The 18978-nt window shown below is 39.7% G+C and overlaps 1 protein-coding gene across 4 annotated transcripts in view, besides 1 other annotated feature; it reads left to right on the top strand.

The window, feature by feature from the left end:
• Positions 1-18978, top strand: part of RCAN2 (regulator of calcineurin 2) — a 271235-nt gene that overhangs the window by 69617 nt on the left and 182640 nt on the right. The gene's annotated exons all lie outside the window — the stretch shown is intronic.
• Positions 16399-16899: an enhancer, noted in NCBI's record as "H3K27ac-H3K4me1 hESC enhancer chr6:46373192-46373692 (GRCh37/hg19 assembly coordinates)". NCBI's record gives its function as "activates a minimal SCP1, AML or CMV promoter by ChIP-STARR-seq in primed H9 embryonic stem cells {active_cell/tissue: H9 hESC(primed)}" and the evidence as "EXISTENCE:reporter gene assay evidence [ECO:0000049][PMID:30033119]".

The raw sequence follows: 18978 nt of genomic DNA, 5'->3' as shown, positions 1-18978 counted from the left end.
ATGGTGCCAGCATCCACTTCTGGTGAGGGCTTCAGGCTGCTTCCACTCATGGCAGAAGAAGAAGGAATACAGGGATCACAAGGCTAGAAAGGAGGCCAGAGAGGGCTGGGCCGGGGAGGTGCCAGGCTCTTTTTTACAACCAGCTGGCAGGAGAACTCTCGCAGGAACTAACAGTGAGAACTCACTCATCCCCACCACCCAGGGAGGATATTAATCTATTAGTGAGGGATCCTCCCTCATGACCCCAACACCTCCCATTAAGCCCCACCTCCAACACTGGGGATCAGATTTCAAATGAGATTTGGAAGAGTCAAACAAACCAAACTGCAGCACTCCCTAAGGCATCTATTCTTATGGTCCTATACGTAGCTCACTTCTTATTTCTAAATAATTATTTTCCTTGGAAATTATATTTACTAACAGTTTTCTATCTCCTTTAAGCAGATGATGTTTATGTTTTGATATTTATTTATTTTTATCAGCTGGTTACTTTCATCATTCATTAGCCATTTATTGAGTACCTATTATGAATTATGTACTGTGCTGGTACTAAGGATATAAAGATCAGTGACTTTCTCTACTTTTAATGAGTTCTAATGGAGTCTCATTGAAGTGACAGACACAGAGTTAGATAATGCCAACCCAATATAACATGCTAAACTAGGATGTTAAACAAACTGCTTTTGGAACCTGGAGAAGTGAGTAAATGACCTCTGAGGACTATCAAGGAAAGACTTCCTGGAAGAAAGGACATTGGCAGTGGGTATTAAAAGTTGAGTAGGAGTTTGTGAGTTGCGACATCTCCCAACTTCCTTCTGCTCTGTTCACTCTGATGTTTCACTGTCATCTTAAATTTAACATGTCAAAAGTCAAATTCTTTATCTTTCACCCTAAATTACTTCACTCACTTGAGTTTCCTATTACATTATTCTCTGAATCATCCTTTTGGCGTTTTTGTCTCTTTCCTCTCTGTTGTCCTGCTGTCAGCCACAAAGTCATCTGCGTGCTTTCTTCATTTTTTCATTCAGTTGTTCCCACTGCCCCAGACACTTCATACTCTGCCACCTCCTGTCTGGGTTATTACAGTGGACTCCAGCTGATTAATCTGCCTAAGTTTACTTTCCCCATTTAATCTGTTTTGTACATCATTGCCCATTGCTCTTTTTTTGGATATCAGTTTGATTCTGTCACTCATCTATTTAGAAATAATGGCAAACTGGCACTTGCTCAATGCTGGGATGGTTTGTGAAGTAATTTTAAAAAATGTTATCTCATTTCATTATCAAAACAACTTTGTGAAATAAATACTGGAACTTACTGAATATCCTCTAAATTTAGAATTCAGTAGTCTATGAGCTCCTGTAACCAGGGATGACATCATGTTCATCTCAGCCTCCTTAGTGCCTAGCACAGTGCTGATTCATAAATGATGTTAAAAACACATTATGGATTCACTCCTGCCTAGTGTCTGTGCATCTTTATGTGCCCAGTTAAAAATAGTTGATCAGGCTGGGTGCAGTGGCTCATGTCTGTAATCCCAGCTGTTTGGGGGGCCGAGGAGGGCAGATTACCTGAGGTCAAGAGTTCGAGACCAGCCTGGCCAACATGATAAAACCCCATCTCTACTAAAAGTACAAAAAAAAGTAGCCGGGCCTGATGGTGGGTACCTGTAATCCCAGCTACTTGGGAGGCTGAGGCAGGAGAATCACTTGAACCCAGGAGGGGAGGTTGCAGTGAGCCGAGATTGCACCATTGCACTCCAGCCTGGGAGACAGAGTGAGACACCATCTCAAAAAAAAAAAAAAAAAAGTTAATCAGAAGACATTGAAATGACATTATAAAAAATAACAGGACAGTTTTGCCAATATTTCCAGTGCTGATTCCACACCCTGCTCAGCAGTCAGAGAATCACTTCTTCATGCTGTGATTACTGCTGTTGCTGAACCGCTCTTGAGCCTGAAGATTCCTGATGGATTCTTAACAGTCAGTGCTATATAGATACAGAACCACTCCTTGCAAATAGCTCCCCTTAATGATGCAACCAAGACTCTTGCACACGGTAGTCTGTATTATTCTTAAAATCAGACTCAATTTAATTGTCTTGCATGGATTTTAGTGATACGATGATAACTAAAACATTTGTTTAAATGCTCTAGTCTTTCAGGTTTTGTTTTTTTTTTTAATGTGAGGGTTGTATGGCTTATAATCTGTACTCTGTTTATCTGCCTGTCTTAACTCCTAACTTCATAGGAAAACTGGTTGTAGAAGGGATAATATTAAATATACTTAAAAATATTAATGAAGTAAAATAATTTAAGTCTTGTCTGCGAGAATTTGAAATTTTAAATCTGACAACACAGTGAAAAGGATCTGTCTACTCTTGTCTGGCATGAACCAATTTGGGTAAAAAGACTACATGACTTTTTTGGTTGTTAATGTTTTTATGAAATCATAGAATATAATCTATACTGAATTTTGAAAGGCAGTTTGCCAACACGAAGAATAAATGAACCAGCAAACTATTTAGAAATGTGCTTGACTTATTTATGTTCTTTCTCAGCCAAAATGGTTTGAAGACGTGAGGCTTTCTTTCCAAGAGTCCCTGCTGCCATCTGCTGGTCTTCATTATTCAGCAGCCAACTTCTAAATGGAGTCTGGATGACATGGTTCCATGAGATATGATTTTCAGGGGAAAAATATTTTGTAATTTTATTATATTTTAAAAATAGAAGTAATACTAAATTGAGATTAAATAAACAAATAATCTGCTTAGAACAATTTATTTTTATAAAATCTTGGGCAAAAATTTAAAACAGGGTCCCAGGGAAAGTCATCTTTCTCATATTAACATGTACCTTCCGTGGATGAAATCAGGTGGTTTGAAGCTGTGATAGATTGGTTTTGAAGTGAAGCAAGCTCCAAACTCCGGTACTCTGTGTGTGGATGAGGAAGAAGTTGGAATATTGGGAGAAGAGCATACTAGGCCTTCTAAACCGGTGGTTCTCAAGCTCTAGCAGAATCAGAATCACTTGGAAGGCCTGTTTGAAAAAAGGTTGTTGGGCCTTATCTAGTGGTATACTATTAAATGCTTTACAACTGGCTTATTGGTTAAAAGGCCCTGATGTGTAGCATTTGCTGACTTCCATGGTGTAAATGCTCCCGCTGTGGCTGGTTTCAAACTTTCCACATGGCATCACTAAATGTAGGGTTGAGAAGAGATGTACTGTAGCTCACTATTACGTCGTATTTTCACCATATGCCTACAATATATGCACACGGCCTGAAGAGCACAGATTGTAGCCAAATTATGTTATTTTCTTTTTTCTTTTGGGCTTTTTTTTGCTATCTCGGCTCACTGCAGCCTCCGCTTCCCAAGTAGCTAGGACTACAGGTGTGTGCCGCCACGCCCAGCTAATTTTTATATTTTTAGTAGAGACGGGGTTTCACCATGTTGGCCAGGATGGTCTTGATCTCCTGACCTTGTGATCTGCCCACCTCGGCTTCCCAAAGTGCTGGGATTACAGTCATGAGCCACTGTGCCCGGCCAATCACATTATTTTCTAAAGAAGCATTGAATTTTGAGTATTTATTATTTCTGTCTTAATCCATTTACCTGCAACTGTATATATATATATATATATATATATATATATATATACACACACACATATTTTAGAGATGATTATATTTAACAATCAGCCGATAAAATTCCTGGAAATTTAAGCCACTCCCCCAGAGTGGATGGGAGCTGGCTCCTAGCACATGACTAGTTCCACCTGTAGAGTGTCTGGTGTGGGTCAGTGGGTCTGGGGACACTGAGACTGGTCAGACGAGAATGACAAAAAGATCCACGTAGTCATTAAAGGGTGGTTACAAGGCACTGATTGTAAGGAGGGGTGGGATATGAAATCCAAATTTTGTAAGGAATTGAGGACGTGGAGCAAGTTACTTTGATTCTGGATGGCGAAAAAGTGGCAGCTTTAATGATTAGAGGGCTGAATGAAGTGGAAGAATTTTTGGAAGGGTCAGAGAGGAATATTTGAAGTGTTTATTATTTCCGTTTTAATTGATTAACTTGCACATTTATATAACTTAGTTTTTAGTGATGGCTTTAGAGTTTTAAAGTGTTTGCTTTAAAAATTCAGGTTGTTTGTCTCTGACCTTATAATGGACGTTAGATACCTAAAGTATAAGATATTTTGTTAAGATAATGTTATATTACTATATTATCATAATTTTCCTTTCTTGAAGTTTAAATAAGGATAGTGATAATAATCTCATATATGATTAATGTCAAATGATGTACAAAACAAAGGTGGGATTTGTGAGAGAACATTGGCATTTGCACCAGACAGCTGGATTCAAGTTTCAGATTATTCATTTAATAGCTGTGTGACTCTTATCACAGTAAAAATAAATAAACAAATCTAAGCCTCAGTTTTCTCATCAGTGAAATAGATCTAATAGCTTCTGCAATTAAGTATTGCAAAAATTAATTGTGTGTGTAAATTACCTGGCACAGTGCCTGGCTCTTAGGAAATGGCAGCTTTATTTTTATTGTAGTAGCATTAGACCTGTCACACAAATACTTAAGACAGCGTTTTAGTTCGTTTCTCTGAAATACACTACCCCCAAATGAAATTGAATATGTTGGATTATGTCGATAAGATTATATATAAGGAATTAGAGAAAACTGGAACATCAGTGTTTTACCCCAGCTCCTGTATTGTTTGGGGAACAGACTTCAGAAAATGGCCAGAGGAGTAATGGCAACTGAATGATAGAGGGATTCTTTCCCTGCAGTTCTTGGTTATCATAAATGAAGAGTGTCCTGCTTTTTATCCAAATTGATATGTCCCTTTCTTGGTTTTTTAAAACTAAATTTTAATCTGAGTTCATTATCATAATCTTTCTTCATCAATTTGTTTCTCTTTATTGACTTTTTAATCAGGAGGCTTAGAAACAAATTATAGCTCTTAAAGAATAAATCTTACGTGAGAGCTCTTTGAGGTAAGATATGCACATCCAAACAACAGTGAGATATCATTTTTATCTCTCAAATATGTGAAGTGAATGAAGCTAACACTCAGTAGGGGAGAACATGTAGTGAATCCTTCATGAAGGATTGTAAATTGGTACCTTTCTGAAAAGCTGTTGGACAATACAGCAAGAGTCATAAAAATGCCCATGAATTTTGACATAGCATTTTCCATCTATGACACATGTATTCTCCATCTATGCATTTACTTGAAGGAAATAGTAAAGCAATATTGGACAAAGATTTAGGAACAAACATATTCATCACAGTGAAAATAGCAAAATAAGTATGGAAGAAATAAAGTCTAGCAATATGAGAATGGTTTAAAATGATGGCACATTTATGCAATGGTAAATGCTGTAAGATTGAATTTTTTGGACAAAAATTATAAAACTGAATGTTTTTTATAATCTCAGTTCTATAATAAGCACAGAAAAAATTTTGGAATATCTATCAAAACATTAACCATTGTTATCAGTATGGTAGAAAATCAGAGCAGGACACGGTGGCTCATGCCTGTAATCCCAGCCCTTTGGGAGGCCAAGGTGGGCGGATCGCTTGAGCCCAGGAGTTCGAGACCAGCCTGGGCAACATGATGAAACCCCATCTCTACAAAAAATAAAAACATTAGCTGGGGATGGTGGTACATGTCTGTAGTCCCAAGTCCTAGCCACTCGGAAGGCTGAGGTGGGAGGATTGCTTGAGCCTGGGAGGTTGAGGGAGCAGTGAGCCATGATTGTGCCACTATACTCCAGCATGGGTGACAGAGCGAGACACTATCTGAAAAAAAGAAAAGAAAGAAAAAGGCAATCAGACAACTTTCATTTTGTTCTTATTTAAAAAGCTATCTATTTTCCAATATTCTACAATAACAATGTTTATTTTTATATTAAAAATGAAACTTTAAAGGATGTTAAACTTATTGAGGAAGAAGGTACCATACTAGATCCTTCCACTTTTGACCCTCTTACTCTTTGCTTACAATAATTGAATTTCTGCCATTCCTTCATTATTGGAATTGCTTGCTTAGAGGTGATTGGTGCCTTAAGTGGTCAACTGCAAAGACCTCTTCTTAGCCCTTAGCTCACTTAATTTTTTACAAAATCTTACTTAATCGATTTATTCTTTATTCATATTAAATAACAGCTTTATTGAGAGATAATTCATATACAGTTATCCCTCAGTATCCATGGGTTCTGAATCCATAGATTGAATCAATTGTGATTTGAAAGTATTAAAAAATACTGTGTCTGTACTGAACATATGCAGACATTTTTCTTGTCGGTTATTACCTAAACAATACAGCATAACAACAATTTACATAGCATTTACATTGTACTAAGTATTATAAGTAATCTACAGTTGATTTAAATGATCCAAGAGTTTGTTAGTAGTTATATGCAAATATTACATCATTTTATATCACAGACTCAAGTATCCATGGATTTTAGTATTCATAGGAGATCCTGGAACAAATCTCTCACAGATATTGAGGAACGAGTGTATATGAAATTCATTATTTTGAAATGTACAATCATTGTTTTGTCCTTCACATGCTCATCTTTTTGAACTTCTATGACTGGGCATCACCCTAGTTTATTTATTAATTTTTTTTTAAAAGTCATTGGGTGCCACCTATGTGCTAGGTACTAGTTCCTCTCCTAACTCTCCTTTTTAGTCTTCTTTGCTAAATCCTCTTCCTCTGCCCAGCCCTCAAATATCAACATCCTCCAACTCTATTCTCCTGTTCCTCCATAGTTTGTTTATGCAAATGGTTCTCACTTCACCTTTGCTCAGGATATCTCCTGAATCTATTCACTCACATGTGCTACTGAGGCCTGAATGCTCACAGGTCTGGGACTATAGCTGAACTTAACACCCTGTGTCCCTGCATACAGCTTCATTCCTGTTTCCCCTTCTGTTTTCCTTATCTCATTTATGGTGTCACCGTCTTGCAAGCCAATCATTGTAGAAGTTTTAGAGACATGTTTGATTCAGACTGTCCATTCAATCCTCAAATCTTACTGATTTTAAGCGTCTTGATTCTATACCCTTAATCCGTTCCTACAGCTAGTGCCCTGGTTCCGCCGTCATCAGCTCAGTTCTGCTCATGTGGATAGTGCAGTGGTCTCTGGCATCCTGACTCTATCCTCCGCAGTTGCCAGGGTCACCTTCCTAATGGTAGCCATGGTTATATCATTCTTCTGCTCCAAAACCTTTCTACAGAATAAAGCTCAAACCCCTTGCCTCAGTAACCAAAGACATACATGATCTGGCCCCAGTCTACCTTTCCAGGACTATGTACCACTAGGGAGCCCTGTGATACCCATACAATCCAACCACATTAGAGAATTCACAATCCATAGGCACATTCTCTTCACTTCTCCATACAGTGCACTTATTTCCATTGTCCACTCCTCTTTCTTTACTAATTAAAATATGGGAAATTGTATTAGAGTTCTCAATAGAGAAACAGAACCAATAGGATGAATATATATATGTGTGCACATATATAGACAGATTTGTTTTAAGGAATTGGCTCATGAGATTGTAGAGGCTGGTAAGCCTGAAATCTGCAAGGGAAGCCAGCAGGCTTGAGACCTAGAGAAGAGCTGCAGTTCTAGTCCAGAGGCAGCCTGCTGGCAGAATTCCCTCTTTCTCCAGGGAAGTTAGTCTTTTCTCTATTAAGGCCTTCAACTGATTAGATGAGGTCCACCCACATATGGAGGGTAATATGCTTCACTCAAAGTCTACTGACTTAAATGTTAATCTCATCTAAAAATATGTTCACAAAAACACCCAGAATACTGTTTGACCAAATATCTAAGCACTGTGACCTAGCCAAGTTCGACACATAAGCTTAACCATCATAGCCATCTTTCAAGACTAGTTCAAATGACCCAACTTCTAAGAAGTCCTCTGTCATTTCTCTAACTACCTCTAACTTTCCCACCTTTGCACTCCCATAGCCATTGGTCTGAAAACTTTAAGCACTTACCACACTTTACAAGGCCTTTGCAATTTGTGTTTGTCTATCTCCCATTTACACTAATGGCAGCTATTGTTCCTCATTTATATTTGTATAATTCATGATATCTGCATAAGAGTCTATGCAAAATGGGCACTTATTAAATATATTTAGAATAGAAAATTAATTTTTAAAGTCCCATTTACAGAACCTCAGTCTCCTCACTGGCCAGCATATTGGCATTTTAATCTCTAATTTTGTCTCTAATGCACCATGTCCAGAGTCCCTACAGATTGGCCCATTACTCCCACCTCCTTGCTACCTTTCATATCTCTGCTAAATCTACACAAGCATTTAGTTACCTATTCTGAGAGCCGGGTGGCTGGGGGCCGTGGTCTTGCTATAAGAGCCAAACTAATAGAGAAGAAAACTCAAGGAGTGGTCACCAACCTTTGTCTTTGTCCCATTCCTGACTCCATCCCACCGACGATATTAGGTAGCACTTCTCTCATTCAAGGAAGCCTCATCTTTCAATCTGTCAGGGGTCGGTTTCCCCAGTTCAGTAAGAAGTGGTTCAAACTGTGTTCTCTACTCTGTAATCATAAAGAGACTTCATTTCCAAGAAACTTCACATGTCAGCATCCTCAGCAGGAAGCAAAGACAGGAGGCAGGGCCATTTGGTGCCGTTGGAGCCAGCTCTGATCTAAGGGATCCATCAACCCATAGTAAATCTTATATTTCTAAGATCATATACTCGTACAGGCTTATTTTAACCCAAAAATTCTTTTATAAAAAACCTCACATACATGCAATTGCATTTATACTGTTGTTCCATCCTAATGATTTTCTTCAACAATATCTTCCAAGTGAGCTAATCCACAAGTATCAGGAGGACTTAACTGCATAACAGAACTGAAGGGAATTTCACATAAAAAAAATCTTAGCAGGAAATCTTTCAACAGAACTGCCTACCGTTTCTAATTTAATTAGCCTAATTAATAGATTTAAATACCAACTAATTATCTTCATGTTTCCAGGATGTAATCTGTCCTTTAAAAGATGCACACTTCTGCTCTTATTTTATTTTCATTCATACTGTCTCTGAGAACCTTTCATTAAATGCTGCCTCTGGTTTCAAATGCTGCCCCTCTCCTCCTTAGTTGAAAATTTAAAATATAATAAAGTCTCTATTTTTCTTTCTACTTAAGAATTCCTGTGGGTATCAGCAAAGTTGCTTTTCTTTAGTAAAAGTTGAATCTACAGTGCTACCCAGCTTATTCATTGCATCTTCATACAGCAACAACTTTGATTAAAGACAATCATTTTTAATATGAAGAAAGTGGATTAAGAGTAAACATAAGAACACAAAGCCAAGGGATTGTTTTATAATTTATTCTTGCCTCACATGGCTCTAAGTGAATTAGAAAGTCTACCAGCCCTATTATATCCTGGTTTACCCACGCCCTCTGGCTTCCTCCTCTGGCAAAAGCTATCATTCTCTCTGTTCCTAGCAAAGGCCCAACAACCCCTCTACTGGTCTCAGAGTCCCAACTCCTCTTGCCTCCTCATCAGGCTTCCCTCCCTGCTCTTCCACTAAGACAGCTCTCATCAAAGCAATCACAACCTTCGTGTTGCCAGACCCAGCAGTTGTATTTTTATGTTCTTATCCTTCTTGACCTCTCAAGAACGCTTGATGAAATTGACCACTACTTCCTTCTCAAAGCTCTTGACTTTTGTGACATTGCCATCTGTTTTCACCTTCCTCATTGCTACTTCTTTTCAGTGTCTTATTCTCCTGTTTTTCCTCTGCTAAATTTGGAGTGCCCCTTGGAGAAGTTATTGGCTACCTTCTGTTTTGTATTTATACATCATAGTTGATCTCATTCAGCCCCATAGCTATGAATGCCATCTCAATGCCAATGATGCCCCCCACAATCTGTACCTCTAGTCTCAACTATACCCCAGAACTCCAGACTCTCAGATTTGTCTACTGAACATTCCCATATAAGTTGGAACTTCTTCTCAAACTTAATAAGGACAAAACAGACTCTAGATATCCCACCAGAAAGCTCGTTTTCCTCACCACATCTCAGTAAATGCTGTCAACACCTACTCAGACTCAAGCCAAAAATTTAGGAGACACTCATTATTTCCTCCTTTCCCTCTTCTTAATATATAATCCATATACAAGTCCCAGGAGATCTACCTCATAAATCCTGGATCAAATTTCTTCACCCTGTCTCCACCACTAATATTTTAGATCAAGTCACCATTGTCTCTTTTCCGTAGTAATCTCCCTAGCTGGTATTCCTGCTTCCACTGTTGGACTGCCTACAATCCAGGCTCTTCACAGCAGCCAGAGAGACCTTTACATAACACGAATCTGATGATTATGTCAATTCTTTATTTAAAGCCCTCCAATCACTTCCCATCATACTTAGAATAAAATTCAAACTGTACTCTGATCATACCTGCCAATCTTTCAGACTTTATCTCTAACCATTCTCCTTGCCCATTACATTTCTGCACATAATTTTTTTTGTTTCTTGAACCAACTGGTCTTTCTTCCTGGAATACTCTTCCTCTTAGTTTTTATAAGATTAGGTACTTCTTTTAACTCAGATCTCAGCTTCACTGACTCATCCTTAGAGATTGGACTTACTCTCACATTTCTCTTTTTTTCGTTCTCTACTTGGCAATAATCTGATAAAACATCTGATCTTATTTATTGGTTGGTTGGCTCATTTTTCTGTCTCCCAAAACCTCCATGACAGAAGAACTTTGTCTGTACTGTTTTCTTCTCTAGTCCCTGTGCCTCTAACCATTTTTTAATGAATTTATTGTGATAAAAATACATAACATAAAATTTACCACTTTAACCATTTTGAAGTGCACAGTTCTGTGGCATTAACTGCATTCACGTTGTTGTGCAATGATCATAAACACCCATCTCTAGAACTTTTTCATCTTCCCAAACTGAAACTCTGTACCCATTGAACAATAGCTCCCCATCCTCCCAGGCCCTGTCAATCACGATTCTGTTTTCTATCTCTGAATTTGACTACACTAGGTGCCTCATTGTGTTTGACTTATTTCACTTAGCATAATGTCTTCAGGGTTCATCCATGTTGTAACGTGTGTCAGATTTTCCTTCCTCTTAAGGCTGAATAATATTCCATCATAGGTATATGACACATTTTGCTTATCCATTCATCCCTGTATGGGCTCTGTATACTATATGCTATCGGCTATTCTATATGATCTTCCCAGAAACTGTAAGTTCTTCTCTCACTATTTGATATTTGAAATAAGTGAGCACTTTTGAAGGCTAAGTGTTTGTTAAGGGTCACATGGTGAAGAAATGGGGTTGTTGATGGGCAAACTTGGACCTGCCTCCCTCCCAAGCCTGTTCTTTCCCTGCTGCCCACCATGCTGGTGCATGGCAAAAGGCTTTTCAGTCTGTTGTCAGGATAACCATAATCATGGATATAAAAGGGCTTTGAAATTGATAGATAGCTTAATATAATATCATCCTTGTTAAAACTGAATATTTTTGAAATAATATTATTAATGTGTTTTTGAGTAGTTCAAAGAAGATTTGCTGTTATAAGATGGGATTTTTTTCACAAAATAAGAAAAGCATATTTCCTGCAGGTTATTCCTATGGGCCAGTTTCTAATCTGGAACCTCGCCTAGAATAGACATTCTGTAAATATTAGAATAGTAACAGGCAAAAGATTTCCATTTTAAGAGCTGTTTCCAGTAGTTATGTAACAATTATTTCTCAGACATGCCTTTTTGCCTTGTGGCCAGAAGGTGGAGAAAGACGATGTCAAATACTTCACTTGTTGTTTCCTGCTCTGAATTTTTCTCACCAATCCTGGTTACCTTTTTTTACCATGTCCTAATCTACTTCAAATGTACGATTGAAAATAGGGTCTATTATTGATATATGTTAGTCAGTGTTCTCCAGAAAGTCGGAACCAGTAGGAAAGGTACGTAGGTAGGTAGATAGATGGATGAATGAGTGGGGATTTATTAAGGAAATTAGCTTAGCAATGATGAAGGCTAAGTCCCATGATGGACCTTCTGCAAATTGGAGAACCTGGGATGCTAGTAGCATGGCTCAGTTCAAGTCAGAAGGCCCCAGAACCAGGGAAACTAATGGTATAACTTTTAGTCTAAGCCCAAAGGCCTAGACTTTTAGTCTAAGCCCAAAGACCCTAGAGGGTCACTGGTGCAAATACCAGAATTCTAAGGCTGGAGAGCTGGAGTTCTGATGTCCAAGGGTAGGAGAAGAAGAGTGTCCCTGCTCCAGGAGAGAGAGAGAGAGAGAAAACAAAATCACCTTTCCTTTGCCTTTTGTTCTGTCTGACCTCCAGCTGATTGGATAGTACCTGCCCATGTTGGTGACAGCAGATATTCCTAAGCCCACTGATTTCAAATGCCAGTCTCTTCTGGAAACACCCTCACAGGCATAATAAGAAATAATGCCTTTCCAGCTATCTGGGCATCCCTTAGTTCAGTTAAATTAACACCTAAAATTAACTATCACACGATATATCTCATATCAAACTCATATATCAAAACTTTGATCAAAAGTATTTTATGAACGTTTATGTACAGAAAAGAATTAAAAGAATGTATGATGGAGGAAATAGTAAAATGTTGGCATAGTTCCTGGCACTCAGCAGGCTCTCTGCTCATAATGTACATAATGAACTAATGAATGAGTGGTGCATTTAAGAGCCTGTTATAGATGAAGATATATTGGAAAAAGTGATCTAGTACTTTCATGGTTGCAAACTGCAGATGCCTTTCTTGGCCTGTACTCTCTTGACAATGTGGAATGAACATGGAGAGTCTAGTGTATGTATATATAGTTTGTGTATTAGAAATGTGATCCCACAAAAGTCAATTGAAAACATTAATTTAACTGCTGCCAAAATGGGTTAAGTGGTATTTAAAGTTCATGAAGGAATTAATAAAACTTTGAAAGGTGAATAATAATGTAAAAATAAGTTCAGTATTATATTTCTGATTTGGTTATATAACCCTTCCATACTTACTAAATGTGATTTTTAGTTATTGCTTTCATATATACCTGTACAATTTTATTCAAAAGAAAGTGTATCTATGGAACTCGGTGGTTAAATGAGAACCTTGAGAAATCATGTTAGACCATTTCGTTTCTTTAAACAGAATTGTTAATATTTGTGTCTTCCCCTAAAGACTCCTAAGGGAAAAACAACATTTTCCTTCAAGTAAATCAGTATATATGGAATCTATTTTATTAGTATAATTTAAAAACACATCTTAGATAGTGGCAAATGATCTTCATTTGGTTTTTGCAGTTTGATATGTCTCTATGAAATTTATATACCCTAAAATGTCTCCCAAGACCCAGCATTTTATTTAATGACTGGCCTTTCCTTAGCTCATACTTCATTTTCTGACATGTAAGAACAATGTGTAGGAGTAAACAGGATACCAGGCATCCATGGAAGGATGATATTTTTCTTGGCCAAACTATCTCCTGTTGGAAAAATAAAAATAAAAACAAAACAAATAGAAATTTTTGTTTCCTTGCCAAGCCTCTAACCAGTTTTTTTTAAATTATTATTCCTTATTGTCTGGTATTCATGGTGGTTGGATAACTCAGTCAGATAGAGAACCAAGGCAGAGAGGCCAAGGAGCTGGGTTCCTTCTCTTTGTGGGCTGGCAGCTTTGCTCCGTTTGGGTGGCAGGAATCTGTAGCCAAATCTTGGTCAATGCACTAAGAGTCCTAGTGGCAGTGCCTAGCATCTGTCTTTCACCATTACTAGAAAACAGTAACAATGCTGGGAATATTGCAATGACATAGAGAATCTTCTATATGTGAAGGGCAGCACATCCAGCTCTTCTTTTGCAATATAGAGAAGTCAGGCTAAAGTGCTCAGCTAGTTAGTCCCCGGCATCCAAAGCAGGACAAAGAGAACCCGTGTTGCTGTGTGAGCGACTCGCCAGCTGGTACCATCTGCAGCAGGTTGCCACAAAGAGCCTGCAGTCATCACAGCTGTTTAGCCTCATATCGGATGGCTCTAAACATGTAAACAGGTACCTGAGCAAAATTATGTAGAGCTGAACAGTCGGAGCCGCCCGCAGGGAAGTAATAGGAGCATTGTCGAAGGACTTTAAAAGGCTCTCTCCTTGAGGTATCTGACAGAGGCGCCCTTGAAAACATAAAATATTCGTGATTCCAGAAGGACTCTGACCAGAAAATCCTCAGAAGTTGTTTTATAAGCAGCTTCCCTCCTGAGGGAATAATCATGGATTTTGTAAATATCCATCTCAACATACTGATGACTGAAAAATCAAAGCTGCTGTTTTCCAGATGGACAATTTCAGTGCTGGATGGCATTTGAACTTCCAGTTACTCATTCTGTTTATAATCCTTTGGGGCATGCCAAGTTTTTAATTTTTACGTAGCACTCCATCAATCTTTTTCTTTTTACTCTTTCTCTTTTTGGAGGCACGCTTCTAAAGGTCTGCTGCATAGCAAAATTATGCAATCTCACCTTTAGGCTAAGGTTTGGGTTTCCAAACTTGGTTAAATATAAAATTATAAAATCACCTAAGTACATATTTCCTGACCCTGTTGCAAAGTAGGACATTGATGTATATGAAATAAAATGATGCACAATTAGCCATTTGGAAATGGATTCCCTTCTCTCAACTCTACCTATATTTTTACCACCTCATCCTCCAAGATGCACTCCTTCCATAAAGCAGTTGCCCATAGCAAGACGAGCTCTTTCATTTTTCCAAAGTATGTATTTTTCTGCTTTTACTACTACTGTTTGAATGTGAACTTTTAAAGATGGGATCTTTGCCTGAGTCGGCTTGGAATTTTCCATGGGGACTTGCGTAAAACAACTGTTTTAAAAATGTTTACATCATCACTGGCTTTTTCATGGGAAATCAAGACTTCATTTTTGCTAAGATCTTTGTATGAGTGGTTGCTGCCTGCATAGAAAGGATGTGATTTTTAAAAACAGCAGTATATACTGCTCTTGATTGACTGCATTAGCTTTGTACCTGGTTTCATCTAAATTTAGCTCTACCAAAGGTCCTGAAAGGGAACTCTCCCTGTGTTGTGTTTCTGTGTGCTGATTTTTATCTCCTGTGGTGCTTCTCCCTCTTTTCTACTCCCCTGCCAGGCTATGGCTCCTTTACCAAACAGTTCAGTGATATGAGTTGACTAGGAAAATAGCCCCTGAATGCCTTCCAGGCACTGGGGCACAGTAAGAGTCTCAGTTCCATGCCCCAGGAGCTCAGACTTTGCTTTGGGGTTTTGGAGTCCATTTTAGAAGTCTCTGTCACCTTATCAGACAGGAAAGGTCTGGAGGGACCAGTTTGGGGGTATTTGTTACTGAATCGCCCAGCACATAATTGTGTACCCAGTCTTCTACTGAAATATTGTAATTTTTATCTTGGGGAAGCTATCTGCTACCTGTCTAAGTTTTTGTAACATAAAGAAATGAGAATAAAATATAAAATGTCAGGGATTAAAGGGCTGTCGTTTACACTGAAAGTTCCCTGATAATTTATAGCCAAGCCATTCAAGGAAGTAGCCTCTATAAGTACATAATGGGTCTTTCAAAGTGTTCACTGCCAATTTATGGTAAAGCAAAGGCTTTTCTAAAAGAAGAACATTGAAACCTGTTTCTCTCTGAGTTACTTGTAAGCATTAAGAAAAAAGAGAGCTGACAGAAACATTTTCTTTTAATTGCCCTAAAATTCAAATAGCTGTCCTTGGTCTCCTATCAAAATCATTAATGCCTTGAAGGCTGAGTGATCAGTGAGGACTGAACCAAGGGTTTATTGCTTTGATAAACACATTTGAACCCTAAGAAAGAAATGAAAACAGACCAAAAAATAGCTGCCAGAACTTAATGAGATTTGGAGGAGTGACTTTATTTGGGAAAATTAGGTCATATATATACATTTTAAAATTTGAGTATGCATGGAGACCCTTTTGAGAGGTGACAGCGTGCTGGCACTCCTCAGAGCCCTCGCTTGCTCTCGGCGCCTCCTCTGCCTGGGTTCCCACTTTGGCGGCACTTGAGGGGCCCTTTGGCCCGCCGCTGCACTGTGAGAGCCCCTTTCTGGGCTGGCCAAGGCCAGAGCCAGCTCCCTCAGCTTGCAGGGAGGTGTGGAGGGAGAGGCGCGAGCAGGAACCGGGGCTGCGCGCAGCGCTTGCGGGCCAGCTGGAGTTCTGGGTGGGCGTGGGCTTGGCGGGCCCCGCATTCGGAGCAGCCGGCCGGCCCTGCTGCCCCGGGCAGTGAGGGACTTAGCACCCGGGCCAGTGGCTGCGGAGGGTGTACTGGGTCCCCCAGCAGTGCCAACCCACCGGCGCTGTGCTCGATCTCTTGCCAGGCCTTAGCTGCCTTCCCGCGGGGCAGGGCTCGGGACCTGCAGCCTGCCATGCCTGAGCCTCCCACCCACTCCATGGGCTCCTGTGCGGCCCGAGCCTCCCAGAGGAGCACCACCCCCTGCTCCACGGCGCCCAGTCCCATGGACCACCCAAGGGCTGAGGAGTGCGAGCGCACGGTGCGGGACTGGCAGGCAGCTCCACCTGCAGCCCCGGTGCGAGATCTACTAGGTGAAGCCAGCTGGGCTCCTGAGTCTGGTGGGGACATGGAGTCTTTATGTCTAGCTCAGGGATTGTAAATACACCAATCAGCACCCTGTGTTTAGCTCAAGGTTTGTGAGTGCACCAATCGACACTCTGTATCTAGCTGCTCTGGTGGGGCCTTGGAGAACCTGTGTGTTGAAACTCTGTATCTAACTAATCTGATGGGGACGTGGAGAACCTTTATATCTAGCTCAAGGATTGTAAACGCACCAATCAGTGCCCTGACAAAACAGGCCACTGGGCTCTACCAATCAGCAGGATGTGGGTGGAGCCAGATAAGAGAATAAAAGCAGGCTGCCCAAGCCAGCAGTGGCAACCCGCTCGGGTCCCCTTCCACCCTGTGGAAGCTTTGTTCTTTCCCTCTTTGCAATAACTCTTGCTGCTGATCGCTCTTTGGGTCCACGCTGCTTTTATGAGCTGTAACACTCACGGTGAAGATCTGCAGCTTCACTCCTGTGCCCAGCGAGACCACAAACCCACCAGAAGGAAAAAACTCCGAACACATCTGAACATCAGAAGGGACAGACTCCAGATGCGCCGCCTTAAGAGCTGTAACACTCACCGCGAGGGTCCGCGGCTTCATTCTTGAAGTCGGTGAGATCAAGAACCCGCCAATTCTGGACACGCTTTCATCTATGTTTCCCCAACCCGTTATAAGATAGTAGTGTGAGTCTTAGCAGATTGCAATTTATCAGTGTCATATTTTATTGCAAAATGGTTTGCATTCACCTGTTGTTTAATCTTTACAATACACTCATGAGAACATAATTGGTTTTCTTCAGTACGTGGAAGAAGAAATAAAAACCTGTGGTGCAGTCATATATGGGTTATTTGCTTTTCCTATAGATTTCCATGGGGAAACTGATGTAGCAATGTGTTAAGAAATCTGATGATATCATATAATAAAGATTTCCTGGACTCTGACCTCCATTTCTCTACCAGGTTAGCCTCTATTTATTTATTTTTGTCTTAGTAACATTTAGCATCCAGCAATTTGTTTGTATCACATCTAAAAAGAAATTGGTAGACACAAGATCAATATATTTAGCTTATACCAAGAAATATATTTCTAGGCTATATTAAAGATATACATATTTTATGGTTTCTATTAAATTTCTAGAATAATTTTTGTTCAAACCCACATTTAAGAACTTGATATATAACGTATAGTAAGGTACTCTAGACCTGATTTGAGGATAAATGTTAACAAGAGTAGGGTTTCTACAACTTTAAAATGTTTTCAACAACTTTAATAAGAAGGGCCCCAATAACATGAACAAAAATATATTTAGGTACTTACTTTACCTGTAATGAATTACTTTTATGTAACACCATAGATGTAAATACTTGGTGGCTATAAAATTGTAAAGATTAATTTATCAAGTCAGCATGGTCTATGATCAAACAAGCACTCATTTCCCTCTTCCAAAATCACCTCTTTTTTTTTTTGAGACAGAGTCTTACTCTGTTGCCCACCCTGGAGTGCAATGGTGCAGTCTCAGCTCCCTGCAACCTCAGCCTCCCAGGTTCAAGCGATTCTCCTGCTTCAGCCTCCTGAGTAGCTGGGACTACAGGCACGCACCACCACACCTAGCTAATTTTTGTATTTTTAGTAGAGACGGGATTTCACCATGTTGGCCAGGCTGGTCTTGAACTCCTGACCTTAGGTGATCCACCCTCCTCGACCTCCCAAAGTGTTGGGATTACAGGCGTGAGCCAGCGCACCTGGCCTCCAAATCACCTCTTACACACCTTTCCACCCCACCTCTTATGACACAAATGAGGATCCAACCTCACCTCATCGGCCCAGAACACCTACTGTTTCTGGAACACTCTACAATTATCCAAGGAGTTTTTTATAAAACTTTTTTTTGTAAAACGTTTTTTACTATTAATAACTCACTTTGTGTAGAGATTTATTTTAAACAGCAGGAGCAGGTAAAGCTAGATAGGAATGAAAAATATTTTCTAGATTCTGTCCTTTGTTGGTAGATTCTGCTAACCTTATCTAACCAGCAGGTCTTAAAAAGCCTGAAGATCCAGGATCAAGAATCAACTAACAGCTCTCTGGCTTGCAGAATTTTTTTTTTTTTTTTTTGATACGGAGTTTCGCTCTTGTTGCCCAGGCTGGAGTACAATAGCATGATCTTGGCTCACTATAACCTCCACCTCCCAGGTTCAAGCAATTCTCCTGCCTCAGCCTCCCAAGTAACTGGGATTATAGGCATGTGCCACCATGCCCAGCTAATTTTGTTTTTTTAGCAGAGACAGGGTTTCTCCATGTTGGTCAGGCTG

Source organism: Homo sapiens, chromosome 6 (genome assembly GCF_000001405.40).
Source record: "Homo sapiens chromosome 6, GRCh38.p14 Primary Assembly".
Taxonomy (NCBI): Eukaryota; Metazoa; Chordata; class Mammalia; order Primates; family Hominidae; genus Homo; species Homo sapiens.
This window is presented reverse-complemented; position numbering and strand designations above follow the sequence as displayed.